This window comes from Homo sapiens, chromosome 7 (genome assembly GCF_000001405.40).
Source record: "Homo sapiens chromosome 7, GRCh38.p14 Primary Assembly".
NCBI lineage: Eukaryota > Metazoa > Chordata > Mammalia > Primates > Hominidae > Homo > Homo sapiens.
This window is the reverse complement of record NC_000007.14, coordinates 18,505,474-18,520,409: the sequence shown is the minus strand read 5'-3', so window position 1 is coordinate 18,520,409 and position 14,936 is coordinate 18,505,474. Positions and strand designations below refer to the sequence as shown.

The 14,936-nt window shown below is 35.0% G+C and overlaps 1 protein-coding gene across 40 annotated transcripts in view, besides 2 other annotated features; it reads right to left on the bottom strand.

Annotated features, from left to right (window-relative positions):
• HDAC9 (histone deacetylase 9) overlaps positions 1–14,936 on the bottom strand; it is a 915,592-nt gene that overhangs the window by 482,007 nt on the left and 418,649 nt on the right. For 2 of the 40 annotated variants that reach the window (NM_001204148.3, NM_001204147.3), the window contains exon 1: positions 10,964–11,140. The exons of the other annotated variants lie outside the window; for them this stretch is intronic. The gene's annotated coding sequence lies outside the window, so the exon portion shown is untranslated. Of the gene's footprint in view, positions 1–10,963; positions 11,141–14,936 lie in introns of those variants that run through there. 40 annotated transcript variants of the gene reach the window in all.
• Positions 10,575–11,774: an enhancer, noted in NCBI's record as "P300/CBP strongly-dependent group 1 enhancer chr7:18548259-18549458 (GRCh37/hg19 assembly coordinates)". NCBI's record gives its function as "activates an origin of replication core promoter dependent on BRD2, BRD4, P300/CBP, MED14 and CDK7 cofactors, with strong dependence on P300/CBP, by STARR-seq in HCT116 cells {active_cell/tissue: HCT116}" and the evidence as "EXISTENCE:reporter gene assay evidence [ECO:0000049][PMID:35650434]".
• Positions 11,638–11,767: an enhancer, noted in NCBI's record as "active region_25681". NCBI's record gives its function as "activates an Ori minimal core promoter by ATAC-STARR-seq in GM12878 lymphoblastoid cells {active_cell/tissue: GM12878}" and the evidence as "EXISTENCE:reporter gene assay evidence [ECO:0000049][PMID:35858748]".

Genomic DNA, 14,936 nt, shown 5'->3' with positions numbered 1-14,936 from the left:
TGCAAAGTAATATTAATAGTGAGTGACATTTCTGCAAGTAACAGGTAACCTATTTCTTCTATAGTTGTGATATATAACTAAGTAAAGAAAGGAGAATAGGACAGTATAATAAAATAGAAAAAGTTACCTGCAAGAGGTGGTCTTCAGAATGAAAAGAAAAATATAGCATGATTACTTTAATATTTTGATGTATATCACGAAGTTTCTCACAGATACGTAAATTAATCTTATTCCTGAAGTAAACTTATTAATACTTTTAATTATTAATAAACATACTGATATAAAAACACTTTATTGAACTGTGATTTTCATGCTAGCATTTTTTTTCTTTGGGTTAAAATACTTTTACTACTTTTCTGCTCCTACTACAACAATAAAATAATGGAAACAAGTACCATGAATCCATTAGTTGAGCTTACTATGCTATATGTACTGTATACCATTCTACATTTTTTTGCATTCATTAATATATTGAGCTCATCCTTCTATGTTAATATCTTCAGACATTACTTAATAACTTTAATGACTTGTATTTCAGAGTATGGATTATGTATTGACTTATAGTTAGATTGCCCTCAGTTTTCCATTATTATAAATAAAACTGCTGATAAATATCCTGGTACATAAATTATTGTGAATTTGTGCAAGTATTTCTGTATACCAATTAAGTGGAATTACTAGATTGTTGGGTGTGTAGATTTTTAATTTTTATAGTACTGCCAATTTATGCTGCTCCAAAATTTGAACAGTGTGCTCTTCCACTAATACATGACAACACCCCTTTCCTCCAAACCACAATCAACACTAAGCATTATCTAGTCATTTATTTTTACTCCCATAATGTTGACAAAAATGGCACCTCATTGATGTGTTAATCATGACAAAGATTGATCATCTTCTCGGATACTTACTGCCTATTTTTGGTTATTCCTTTGTAAATGTCTTATTCATAGCCTTTGATTATTTATCCACTGAGTTACTGGTATTTCTTACTGATTTACAGTTTATATTTCTGCTTTATAGATATTAACCTCTTGAGCATTTAATATATGGTAACTTTTTATTTGTCTGTCATGTAATAAAAAATAGTGTCATAATTTGTCATTTAATTTGTTTCTGACTACGAAGAATACCAAGTCAACAATTATTCTTTTTTAACTTTCTCTAGATAGGATTACACTGACCTAGATCTTTCCTAGAATGAGTTGTGATGACATCACATAAGCTCATTAATATAAATAGAAATATTTTTCCAAGGCACAATGTCTAAACTATATTTTTTGCTGGCATCATTTTCATATTGATCTATGAAGTAGGGTCTTCAAACTAAACTTTAGGTTAATTCTATACATAGTATTTATCAATCACTTAGAGCCCACAGATGTTTGCAAAACTAATAATACAGACACTGGGCTTCTGGACATAAAGATTCAATTTCTACCACACTATAGCTTCAAGGGGCAAACGACACATCCCACAGCTTCATACACGTTTGATTTCATTTTGGAATAAGAGAATCTAGAAAATAAACATTTCACATGTCGGAAGCCTTTTCCTTGAAATATCAAAAACACTTTAATGTTTTAAGGTATGCTTTCCAAAATGGGTTAGATACATCTCTGATTTTAAAGATATCTATGACATGGAGGAGCCAGCCAGGGCTATTACTGGCCTTTCCGTAACTGCATTGTGAAACTGTGGTTCCCTCAGGGCCAGTTAAATACAGCAGTCGGCTTTAATGGAGGTGGGACAAGCTTTTGCATTAATTTCTCGACCTTTTCTATATTTGGAAGATGGGTTGGTTTTCTTTTTGCTTTTTATTGTGTGCTGTGGCTCTAGGTAAGTCTTTAGGTAGTCTAAATCTAGTAAACTCCCCTGCTTGTAATCTATGCCTTTTAGTCTTGGGCTGAAGACCCAAATAATCAAATTTGTTATCACTCTTTCTAAAATTGATCACTTACGTTTGCTAGGGACACAAACTTCTTTGAGTATTAAGACATGGAATTGACAGTCTCTCCCCAAAAATGCATATGTACACAAATATATTTGTTTGCAGACAATTTTCTTAGATTCAGAAACTGCCTAAAGCTCATTCACAGATCCCTTGGGCTCTCCAAGTCTCTTTCTGGGTTACTTCAAACTCTTGATTTTGATTCGTATAGAAGAAGTTCCCAAATAAATGAGTCATTAGAAGTCAGTCTAGTTGGAGAAGATAAATACCGGTAAATCAATCACTGTGGGAGAGAGTAAATCAATAAATGCACGAGTGTGTGAAATAATAATAAATAATGTCCTTTTAAAAGCTCAATTAAAACAAATAAAATAAGTGATTATTTGCTTATGGTGAAAATTTCTCATAACATTTTATTTCAAATGAGAAAACAATGAAAAATGTATGTGTGAACACTGTATAACTGTAAGTGTGAGCATGTGAGTGAAAGAACTGGGAATAGAAAATGAGAGGGACCATTTGTATTTTTAAAACAAAAAAATTGTACTTCAGCCAGAAAAGCTGTCATTCCAATTACTACTTCAGAAGTATAGTCAGGAGTTTCTTAGCATGTGAAAGAAGATTCTTGTCTTCACTACCCTGTATCTTGTCAACTCTGCACGAAAAGCCCATTTTCTGCCCTGCTGTCACAATTCTGGCAGAAACAGAGGGGTGAGAATGGAAGAAAACAGGAGTAAAGGCCTCTTCTTTAATTAAGGCATCCTGTCTTAACTTGTACTCTTCTACCTGCAACATCGTGTTCTGAAAGATGGACAAATGTTCAAATCAGTGTTGAGAAAAGATATGTGACTGACAAGAGAATAACAAAGTTGGTATATGATGTGTAATAGATTACAGCTAATTCTTTAGAATGAATGTATAGAAGAACTATGAGAGCAGCCATACTAGACTCTAGACTGTAAAAGAGGAGAAATGGAGGGGAGGAAATAATGCAGGCAGCTCTCGCATCACACAAGCTGATCCTTTAGTTCGTTCATTCCCAAACATGGTATTCAGTTCTTACCAGGTGTAAGGGACCATACTTGACATGAAACTACAAGTGGAAAGTAGCAAGTAAATAAAACATCCTCAGAACGCATTTTCATAATGTATTATTTGAACTTTTATCGTTTGTAAGAACAGAGTCAGGTGGCAAGCCGTGAAATGAGGCAGTCACAATGACGGACTCTTAAAAGATATCAATTCCTGTAAGCACATGACGCCCTGCACTGCTTAACCTTTCTGAATATGTTTGTCTTTAAATACCAGAAAGTAAATCTGTCAATGTGTGAGATCATCAGTTTTGATCAAAAAATTTATCTTGGACTAAATATTCATATTTATTTAAACATAAATTAGAAATGTAGAGAATGCTGGCTGAATTGGGGTGATGGTGGTGGTTGTTGTTGTTGCCAGAAAAAGAAGCCTAAAATCAGATGTCTTTTTAAGTAATCTTTCTATATAATTTTTTACCATTATGCCAGATGTTTGATTTTTCAGCTAAGGCAGATCAGATGCTCAATGTATTACTATCTTTTTTTTTTTTTTTTTTTTTTTCTGAAATGGAGTCTGACTCTGTCACCCAGGCTGGAGTGCAATGGCACGATCTCGGCTTACTGCAACCTCTGCCTCCTGGGTTCAAGTGATTCTCCTGCCTCAGCCTCCCAAGTAGCTGGGACTACAGGCACACACCACCACGCCTGGCTAAGTTTTGTACTTTTAGTAGAGACAGGGTTTGGCCATGTTGGCCAGGCTGTTCTCAAAACTCCTGACCTCAGGTGATCCACCCACCTCGGCCTCCCAAAGTGCTGGGATTACAGGCGTGAACCACTGCACCCAGCCTAATATATTACTATCTAGAATGTGAATTTGACACACATCAGAACATCCTCTGGGGTTCTCATGTGAAGGAGGTGAGAGGAAGGTTGAGTTGTCCTTTCCCTGTTTCTGTTCTTAAGTAAATAGGATATTGACTAGGGCGGTAAGGTGACATCCTCCTTCCTGGAAATCACAACTCTAAAAACACCAGCTATCCAGAACATACCAAAGACTCAAGTGATTTTGGCCTTTTATTGTCCAAATTACATTTTCTATGGATATGAGCATAACTGAATATATTTACCCAGAGGAAATCCTTCTTAAAGGTCTTTTAAATTTCATTTTAGAAACCAACGCAATAAGCCCAACCATCTGAGGTTTTATTCTCTAACTATACTGCACATAATAAATTAGGATGACACAATGTGGCCCTACTAGAAAGAGGCCCGCAGGCAGGATGAAGAGTATAAAATCACAGCTGCAAAGCCATTTTTGTCTGAAGAAAACAACCCAAAAAATTTTAAGTGTGACTGAAGAACCTCCATATTTGAAGTATGACGTAGTTAATATTCATAAAAATAATAATGTGTCCTTAGTAAAAGCATCATGAAGAATGAAAAGAAGTTCTTCTTCCCTTTAAGTTTTAAAATTAAAAATTGGCTTTTAAAATATATTCTTTATATATCTTATGCCTAGAAAACCCAGGATAAAAAGCCTAGAACATTTAAAGTGCAAACGCACATGTGCACTTGAAATATCAGCTGCTGTAAATGGATGATATTCAATCCATTCATTCATTCACTTATCCCATGAATATTCATTAAGCAATTATTATATGTCAACCAATCTTCTAAGCCTTAGGTTTGCTTATGTTGAAACTCCATGTTTTAATTAACTCAGGGATTGTATTTTTATTTTATAACTATTTCCTTTAAATGCTAATGAATGTGCTCAGGGATGGAACCCCCTTTGTTCTCCAAAATTATAATGCTCTTTGATCTCACTGACAAAATAGAAGACTGCTTACTGCCATTCTGTTAACTGGCTACAAATCTTGGTCCAGGATACTGTGGCCTGAAGGGTCCAATGTATCTAGAACTCTACCTCATGTTTTGGGAGCTGCTGCTTAGCCCTGGATTCCACATAATATGTCTAACGCTGTAGGAGTTAGAAATCTTTGCAAACTGGCTTTCACCAACTACCCAAGTAGCTAAAAAAAAATTTCATTCTCAGAATACTGAATATTTGTGAATGACTGATGTGTTTTTGGCAACGAAGTGAATACTTCAGTGAGGCACACTATATTCAGCAATGAGATACACTTAACATATGAAAGAAAAATTTCCATGCATTACATTTCAAAAGATTGGAATGAGGAAGAAGGAAAAAATACTCTTGTTATCTTGATTGCAACATGTAGCTTTGGCATCATTTAAATATCACCATAGTAGGTGTAAAACCCAATAAAATATGACTTTAGAACCAATAACCAATATAATCTCTCTTTCTGTTTTTAAATTTTAACCATATGACTATAAACTGGAGTTTAGAAAAAGTTATGAATAAAAATTCCTAAGGACTATGTAGTACTTATCCCAAAATACTAGTTTAACGAAGAAAATTATTTTTATTGTTATTATTTTCTTATTATCTTTAGAGACAGGGTCTTATGTGTCATCCAGGCTAGAGTGCAGCGGCATGATCATAGCTCACTTCAAACTCAAATTCCTGGACTCAAGCAACCCTCCCACCTCAGCCTCCGGAGTAGCTAGGACTACAGGCACACACCACAACAGCCAGCTAATTATTTTTCGTTTTTATTTTTGTAGAGACAGGGTCTCACTATGTTGCCCTGGATAGTCTCAAACTCCTGGCCTCAAGCTATCCTCCCACCTTAGCCTTCCAAATCCTGAGGTTTATAGGCATGGGCCACAGCACACAGCCAAGAAAATTATTTTGATTAAAATAAACTGGGGAAAAAAGATAGCTGGAAACAATTATTTACTTATTAAGCAGCTGACCTGCAGCAATTAATTATATTAAGTGTTAATATTTAACTGGAATTTCTGCATTTTTACAATCATCTCTGTTATTGTGCTTAACTGAAATTTCTATTTTAGCCCAAAATAAGTCCGAATTTTTAAAAGTGAAATACAATTTTAAATTGACCTAGAAAATTCAAATGTAGTCACTGGGCAAAGAGATTGGAAGAAAAACATGAACACTAACGATACAACTTTATATTTCTGATAAACAATCAAATAATAATCTTCATTACTAAGATGGTAATAAATAGTTCTAAGCTATAAGAAATTTGGCATATAGTCAAATTTTCCATCTATTTCTTTCTACTTCTATTAGAAGAATGACATAACTTGCTACAGAGAAAAATATGAAATAGTTCAATTACAGTTGTAATACATACATTGTATATGCATATACACATACAACGCATATACACACCACAGAAAAAGAAAGATTGACTCAGATTGTTTTGAGGTATCAAACTAAGCTAGATAAGTCATAACAATTAGTGATAGTTCTTTGTAAACAGGTCTATAACAGACCACAACACTTTTGTGAAAAGGCAACACATTCTAAGCCAAAGTCAGACATGGCATAAGCTTCAAAATAAGCAATAACGTTTAAATAAGCTAGAAGTGAATGGGTTTCTAAACCTAAAATCTGTAGGATTATAAACTAGCAGTATCAAACAAATTACTGGGGTTATTTGCCCACTAAATCAAAATTATTTTGGAGGTTCAAGAAAGACATAGTCTTGCGATATGATCTGGTTTAGGGAATTAAAAAGTCAAATCCCTAACATTTTTAAGGATGGCAGGGACCTAACGGTAATCTAGGCAACCCATCCTAGCTTACAGATGCCAGAGAAGACAGCTAGATTACCTATCTCCACACAGACAGTGGCAGATTTGGCTAAACCTCCTGAAAATCCTCTCTATTGTGTTGAAAGTGATGTAGCCACAGTGGCCTTTATTCTGAGAACAGCCAAATACATAATGGTCTCAAGGGCCTTGGCATTGGCTGTTCCCCCTGCCTGGAATTGCTGTCCTTTGATCTTTGCATGGCTGGGCTCTTCTAGTCACTCAGGCATCAGCTTAAAAGTCACTTCTCCATTGGTCTTTTAAGGCACTATTCAGTGACTAACTTGGTGAAGCTTTAGGATACAGTTATCTACCTTTCTTCTTTGACTAAATTATCACCTCTCTATTTCACTCTATCGTACTCATAGATCTGAATCTTTTATTTGGTCTCAAGTTATTTTTTGAGAATTGAGCTAGATAAACATTGTGTACTTCTCTCACCTAGTTTAGAACCACTTTACTAAAGTCCCTGCCCTATCTTCATAAAATTCCTTCCGGTCCCTCTATACAATGCAAGATCCTACATGCATGATACAATACATAGGCTTTGCAGAAATTTAAATTGTAACCTGCATAACTGGATAACAACAGTATTGCAAACATAGATATTTGAGTACAAAATCATTTGGCTATGAGTTTAAAAACTGAATATATTAATTGTTCCCAAACTATTTAATTAACAGTTTGTCCTCTTTCCATTGATTTGTGATGCAAACTCTGTCATACACAAAGCTACTAAAAATAACGTTGTATTCTATTCCTTGTCATCTATGTGAGCATGTCCCTGCCCAAACCAAATAATCATTATTAATACAGCTTTGTATGACTTGACATCTAGGCTTCTTCTCTCCATTTGTTGCTTTACAAAACTGCCATTTGTGCACACTTACTCGTATATTTGAATTTCTGGAATCAGTATGCCTTGTTCCTTCATAGATCCTGTCAGGATTTTAATCAACATTGTGCTGAAATATAATACACATATAATGTATAGAAGAAATTTACAGCAGACTATGTATGAGGTGGGAAATCGAATGGTTAGTAGAGTTGAGGTGGAAATAAGATTTACTTCTTGTTATACATCACTTAGTGTATCTGACTTAATACTATTCATCAAGCATCTTTTTTAAAAAACTGTTTTAAAAACAAAGAGATATGTAGATTAATTTGGGAATAAATAACTTTTTAAAGATGTAGTCTTCCTATTCCTGAGCATAGCATCGCTCAAATCTGATCAAGTTTTCTTATATGCCCTTCAACAATGTTATTAATTTTTCCATAAAAGTTTCATTTGCCATGTAAATGCTAGCACTATTACATTTTGTGTTTGGTTGTTTTTTATATAAAACAGTCCTTTCAATGTTTTATTTTGTACTGACCTTGTACTGAGCAATATAAGTGAACTCTTTATTATTTCAATTATTTTATTTTCCTTTTAATTTCTAATACATCTTATTGAATGCTCATGTCTTGAAATATTGACTAGGACATCCAAAGACAATTCCTGACATTAAAGAGAATGTATTTTAATTTTACCATTAAATATAAAGTTTCAGATAGGGTGAATGGGTTTTGGTCAACAATACTTACTTCCCTCTTCTATTTTTTAGTTTAATAAGAGTTTCTATGCTGGAAGTATACTGAATTTTATTGCATGTTTTTCTACATCTAATGAGAAGATTTTTTTTTTTTTTTTTTTGCTTAATTCATTATTAACAGGGCAACATTCACTGATAGACTTTTTTCCTTTAACCAATCTTGCATTCCTGGAATTCTCTCTCCATAAAAGAAAACCCATATGGCTAATAGCATATGAAAACCACTCGAATCCAACAGTAGTCAGAAAAATTCACAGAAAAAAGTAATTCTCTACCATTTTCATCTTTAAGATTGGCAAAAATATCTACAGTCTGACAATATCCAATATATTGGCAGGGGTGTGAAGAAAGTGGGTCTCATATATATGACTGGTGAAGCATAAAGATAATCTCTGTTACCTGTTGGTTGAGTGCCCAAGGAAGCTGACTGGGCAGTAGATAATCAAATAGAACAATGTTGTCTCCTGTGTCCACTAAACAATTTAATATTTGTCTTTTCTTTTATTTGTTTATTTATTTATTTGAGACAGAGTCTCACTCTGCTGCCCAGGCTGGAGTGCAATGGAGTGATGTCGGCTCACTGAAGCCTTGACTTCCTGGCTCAAGCAATCCTCCCACCGCAGCCTCCCAAAGTGCTGGAATTAAAGGCATGAACCACTGTACCTGGCAATTTAGTTTGGTTTGTAGTCATCTAAGACTGAACTGAGATAGAGGTTTCTAACGTTAGAGTTATAACTATATTCAGATTTGAAACTATGTGCTGGAAAGAAAAAGTAAAAAAAGAAAAAGATATTGATCTTTCCAGATCAAGGATGTGGAAGAATGTCCATTTAATTACTGGGATAATAAATAGTGAGAGACTAGGGGTACTACGGGTATCAGTTGATTGAGGGTTGTTTTCCTTCTTACAATATAAAAGTTAGGTTAAGCTGGTATTCAGATAATTTTTTTCTAATATTTTTATGTTCATCTTTTAGCAAACAAATGAACAATGATAAGAAAGCCTAATTGGCAGCCTTTGCAAATTCACTAAAAGGACACTGGCATACATTTGTTCACCATGATATACTACACTGTGTTCAACACCTATGCTGTAAAATTCGGTTTTATTATCTAACTCCTTTCTCAGCCCACACATCTATTATCAACGAACTCAATTAATTTTCTAAGTCTTAATGCCCTTATCCTAATTTATGCTGTTTTAAGGATAAAATAGAGCAAAAAGACTACCCTGAAAGATTTATATCTTATTCCCTATACCATTCCTTTCCCACATACACATAAAGATAATTTTCTCATTCTTCTCTTAGAAGAGTTGTACATAGAGATTGATTCACCCATTCCATCTATATTTCCTTAATATCTCACTATGTTAACTCCTTATTCTGACATTTTACTTTAGATAATTTTTCAAATTACTGATACCCTTGGCATTGAGATTTTGATTAAATTGTTCATCAAAAATCATCATTCCTTGCCCCCTTGTCAAATAATATAGCTAATTAAATAATGTCAGAATAAATGTAGATGAGCTAGATAGCAATTGTGGGGATAAATTATTTCCAATTGATATTATTATTAACAGAAAAATCCACCTATTTTTGCCCCTTATCTAAGAAAATTGTCTCTACATAAAAACATAGGAGAAGGGAAAAATAGTATTAAATGCAAAGTGTTATTTGAATAACATAAAAGTACACCTGTAATCATTTTCACAACTAAATTTATTCTTCTCTTGGATTAAAAAAAGTATGCATTTATATTCAGGCAGTCTTAAATTAGCTATTTCACATTTCACATTTTGAATGCAGACACATATCCCAGGAAATTTCTATTGGCATTCATTATTCATTGAAAAATCACATCAAATAAGAATATTCCCAAATTCCCTTCGTTAAGAATAACTGAAGCATTTAAAGGGTCATACACACATTGTTAAAGCATTGGAGGTCATTCCTGCTTACATTCTATAATGAATAATTTTAATTTGGGGGCAAAAAGCTCTAACACCTCAAAAATGTCTACATTTTTCAAATCTACAAAGAAACTGAGGAGTAATTTTCTTCATAAAAGAAGAAATCATTTTTTAAAAATACCAAATGTATAAAAACACATTGTGCAATAACACTGTACTCTTTAATCATTCATTTATCTAAAAATAGTCTCAGGGATCAATTATATGCTAGGTACTGTAGGGAATAAAAATAGAAGTAAAACATGATCCTTTTCCTCTTGGAGCTTATAATATAACTAATTGGGGGGATGAGGACACACATACACAGTCACAGTGTAAGACAGAAAGTGGAAATGTTCTAAAGAGAGTAATAAAAGGACTATGAGGATCGAGAGAGAAGGGAGAAAGAGAAAAAAAATACACGTAATTAGGGAAGTATTAATATTACAGAGGTGAGGGGAAATCAGTGATGGTGTCAGACATTAGGTAACATTTGCATTGGGCTTGTAAGAGAATTTTCCCCAGTGATGACCAGTTGGAATAGAGCATTAAGGTATCTCAGAAGAAGGAAATACCTGGTAATTCTTAGACTAAGAAATCAACAACAACAAAAACAGATAAACAAGCAGCCTCATTTAAAAAATACAGCTTTCAAGGACTCAATAAATACTGATTGAATGAGATAATCACTCGGGGGAAAAAACAAGTCACCACTAACCATTTTTCTCAAGCTACACTGTGAATCCACAAAGCACGTTGGCCAGGAGTTTGGCTCGGTCTCAGTCTTCTTGAGGCTAGAGAAAATCGTAGCTGACAGTCTTCCCCTGGTTCTCCCACCTACCCATTGATAAAGGCTTCCCCACCCCTTCCACAAGGCAGAAGTTAAGTGGAGATTAAAATAGCTCCAGAACACTTCCTGCTCTATTCTAATTGTGCTTTGACTTAGACCAATTGGAATGTTGAGGGAAAACCCCATGAGGCATCAAGCATGTGAGATAATGTGTCAGTCCCTCAAAAATGTTTGTCCAACCTACTCTGTGTATCCACCATTGTTCCCTATTCACAAAGCATAATGTGTGAGGAAAAATAGCTCTTAGCTGTTTCTCCCTTTTTAAAAAATAGATGTGTCACCTTCATGAAATACTTCCTTATACAACTATTTTTTTGTAACAACATGTCACGAATCTAGCCAGTTGCTAACCCAACGACGACTGTGTATGCTATGTATGCTAAATATTTTCTTGGGAAGTTATGATTCTCCAGCCGCCTAACAAAGGTGTGATTTGACCCATGATCTACCTGAATTAAATACCTGGCACGTTGTAGGTACACAGTAAATGCCTGTGTGATGAATACTGTATTTCATACTCCTTTAAAAAGTGTGCAATATTGTGTTTATGAGAAAATGTTCTAAGACTTCTAACTTCAGCTGGCGAAGATACTCTGCTCCCCTTCTTTTGGGTTTCTGAGAAAGAGAAACTGTTTGCTTCACTGAACTACTAGCAATGACTCATACTGCTTGGGTAAGAAATGTTAAGCACAATTGACAGGGCAGGTGAGATGAGGGACAAGGGTGAACCTTAGGAACAAGGAAAGGGAACAAGTTCTAAAAGAGCCTTCACTTCAAGTTAATAATATGAATACAAGAGAGAGGCACTTGGTTCACGATCTCTATGAAAAACAGAGAAAATCATAGCTAACAGCCTTTCTCCAGTTCCCTTACCTACCTACTGCTAAATGCTTCCCCATCCTTTCCACAAAGCAGAGGTAACAATATTGAAATAGATCCAGACCATTCCTAATCTATTTTAACTGTGCTTCTGTTCTACTTGACTTAGACCAAATTAAACGTTGAAGGAAAATCTACTTTTTTTAGAAAGATACCCTTTACAGGTTAGCAGACTCAAAAGCCTTCACTTAACTACCCTAGCTACCCTAGTTAATACTGCCCTATCAGTCACTTTCTACCCCATTCTCTTATTTCACCTTAATACTAATTCCTATCTCAAGTAGCTTTATCTATCCATCCATCATTCCATTGAACAACCAACCATGTATCTCCTTGCTTTGTTTAATAGCTGTATCTTCTGTGTCATATGGTTGGTTCTTAAAACAGTTTTGGGTGAAAAAATGAACCGATAAATGACTCTTTCACCCCAGTTCCCAAAGCTTCAAACAATTTCATCTTCCAAAGTCTTCGACCCGCTCATTAAAAGAGTGGTCAGGATGCAACATGTTATGTTGTTCCTTCAGTTGCTTCCATTTCCACTCTCTGAATTTATTTCCATCTTGACTTCTTTTAAGATACATTTCAATTACTGTGTGTTTCCTATTTTTGTCTTTCATTTTGGAAATTCCTAATGGTCAGCAGATAACCAAACAAAACACAAAACATATTTATCTTTTAAAAACATGGGAGGCCAAGGCAGGCGGATCACCTGAGGTCGAGAGATCGAGACCAGCCTGACCAATGTGAAGAAACCCCATCTTTACTAAAAATACAAATTTAGCCAGGCTTGGTGGCACATGCGTGTAATCCCAGCTACTCAGGAGGCTGAGGCAGAATAGCTTGAACCCGGGAGGCGGAGGTTACAATGACCCAAGAGGGCGCCATTGCACTCTAGCCTGGGCAACAAGAGCAAAACCTCATCTCAAAAAATAATAATAATAATAGCCGGGTGCGGTGGCTCACGCCTGTAATTCCAGCACTTTGGGAGGCCGAGGCGGGCGGATCACGAGGTCAGGAGATCTAGACCATCCTGTCTAACATGGTGAAACCCCGTCTCTACTAAAAATACAAAAAAAAACTAGCCGGGCGTGGTGGCGGGCGCCTGTAGTTCCAGCTACTCGGGAGGCTGAGGTGGGAGATTGGTGTGAACCCGGGAGGTGGAGCTTGCAGTGAGCCGAGATCGCGCCACTGCACTCCAGCCTGGGCGACAGAGTGAGACTCCGTCTCAAATAGTAATAATAATAATAATAATAATAATAATAATATGTAATGAATATTTGGAAGACCTGCATAAGTTATCCATTCTATAGCATTTGGCAAATGTTTAACATAAAATGCACTAACATCCATTTTAACATTTTTATCATTTAGGAAAAATGAGTTAATAGTAAAATATAAAATGCGAATTTAACATTAAAACACAATTCTAATTTTAGAGCAAAGTAACAATTGCTAAGGTTTGAATTAAGCACACAAAGTAAATTGAGAGAACACTTCTCAAATGTAAAACTGCATATTTTACTGTATATGAGACTTGCTGGGAACATCAAGAGGTAGTAATACCCAAACAGCAAGCAGAGGCTTACACTTACTTTTCTCATATGCTGAGAATTTTATCTCATCTATTTAAATCAGTAACTCACAATAGTGCATTATAATGACAGTATCTTTTATGGCTATATTTTATATATTGTGGTAATAAAGCTAGGAGCATTGGTGTTATTTATTATTAAAAGTCATTCATGATGTATACTTGCCTTTTTCCCATACTTATAGTTAACCTGTATATTTATTGTGCTTATAATAGTCAATTGTTTTTCATAAACCAATTCTTAAACCCAAGCTTCATGGGATTAAAAAAAAAAAATTGAGAAATTGAATAGAATTTAGATTTCTTAATTTTTAGAAACAGATATATATACACTTTCAATAATAGAATCATTCTTACAAAGTGAAAAAAGAAAACAGTATGTGTGTGTAATGCCATATTCACGAGAAGGGTCAACAGCCCCAAGAAGCTCTGTTTATGAGCAATATTAACACCAAATGGAGAGCTTAGCAATGTCTGTTTCTAAAAATAAACCCTGTGTGTCTCTTGTTGTCATCATCAACCAGAGTCCTGTGTGCTCTGAGACAGCATCAAGGCCGCCTCTTTGCCTTTCCATAAGCATGATACATCATTACCAGAGCTCTCCCTTTTCTCTCAAGGTGGCAGAGATAAAAAGAATTCTGCAATCACCCTAAGCACACATTTAAACAACATTATTGCCCCTTAAGCAGACAGTTATCATGCTATTTTGGCAGCAGGAAGGAATCTGTGGTTTCACTTGAATGTTATTCTTCTTTATTTAAACTACTAGAAATAACCCAAAAATGACAGAATGCTCTTTCTATAAATAATCATTCCAGTGTAGAGTTATATTAGGAGGTAACTCATATGGCATGATAACGCCTAACAAGCTAATCTTAGACCTGCGATGCCATAAGATAGAAATACCGAGGCTAAGAATAACTGACCCAAAGGAGTCAGGCTGCTAAAGAGAGGCACAGACATGTGGACATCTGCAGGTTTTAATGCATTTAATGATCTTCTGAAAGCTTCTTTCCCCTAGGAAGGCAATAAATTATGTCAATCATTAACGTGATAATCAATAATGCTTTTACAATGTATTGATTCCTGAAGATGGCTCAAGATTCTCATAGCAAATAAGATCATAAAAATTACCTGTTGGAAAGCCAAGAGTGGGCTTTTGCATAATTGGATTAGTAGGTAATGGGTGAATTTTACGCTTAAGCCACCTACAGAACATATGACATTCATCCAATAAAGCAAAATTAACTCAAGATAAAGTAAAACGTAGTATGATGATAATACATATAAACACAGCCATCCAGTTTTCACCTAAATTGTCCAAACTGGACCCAAATTGGACAGATATATATTCAAAATAAGTAGAAACTG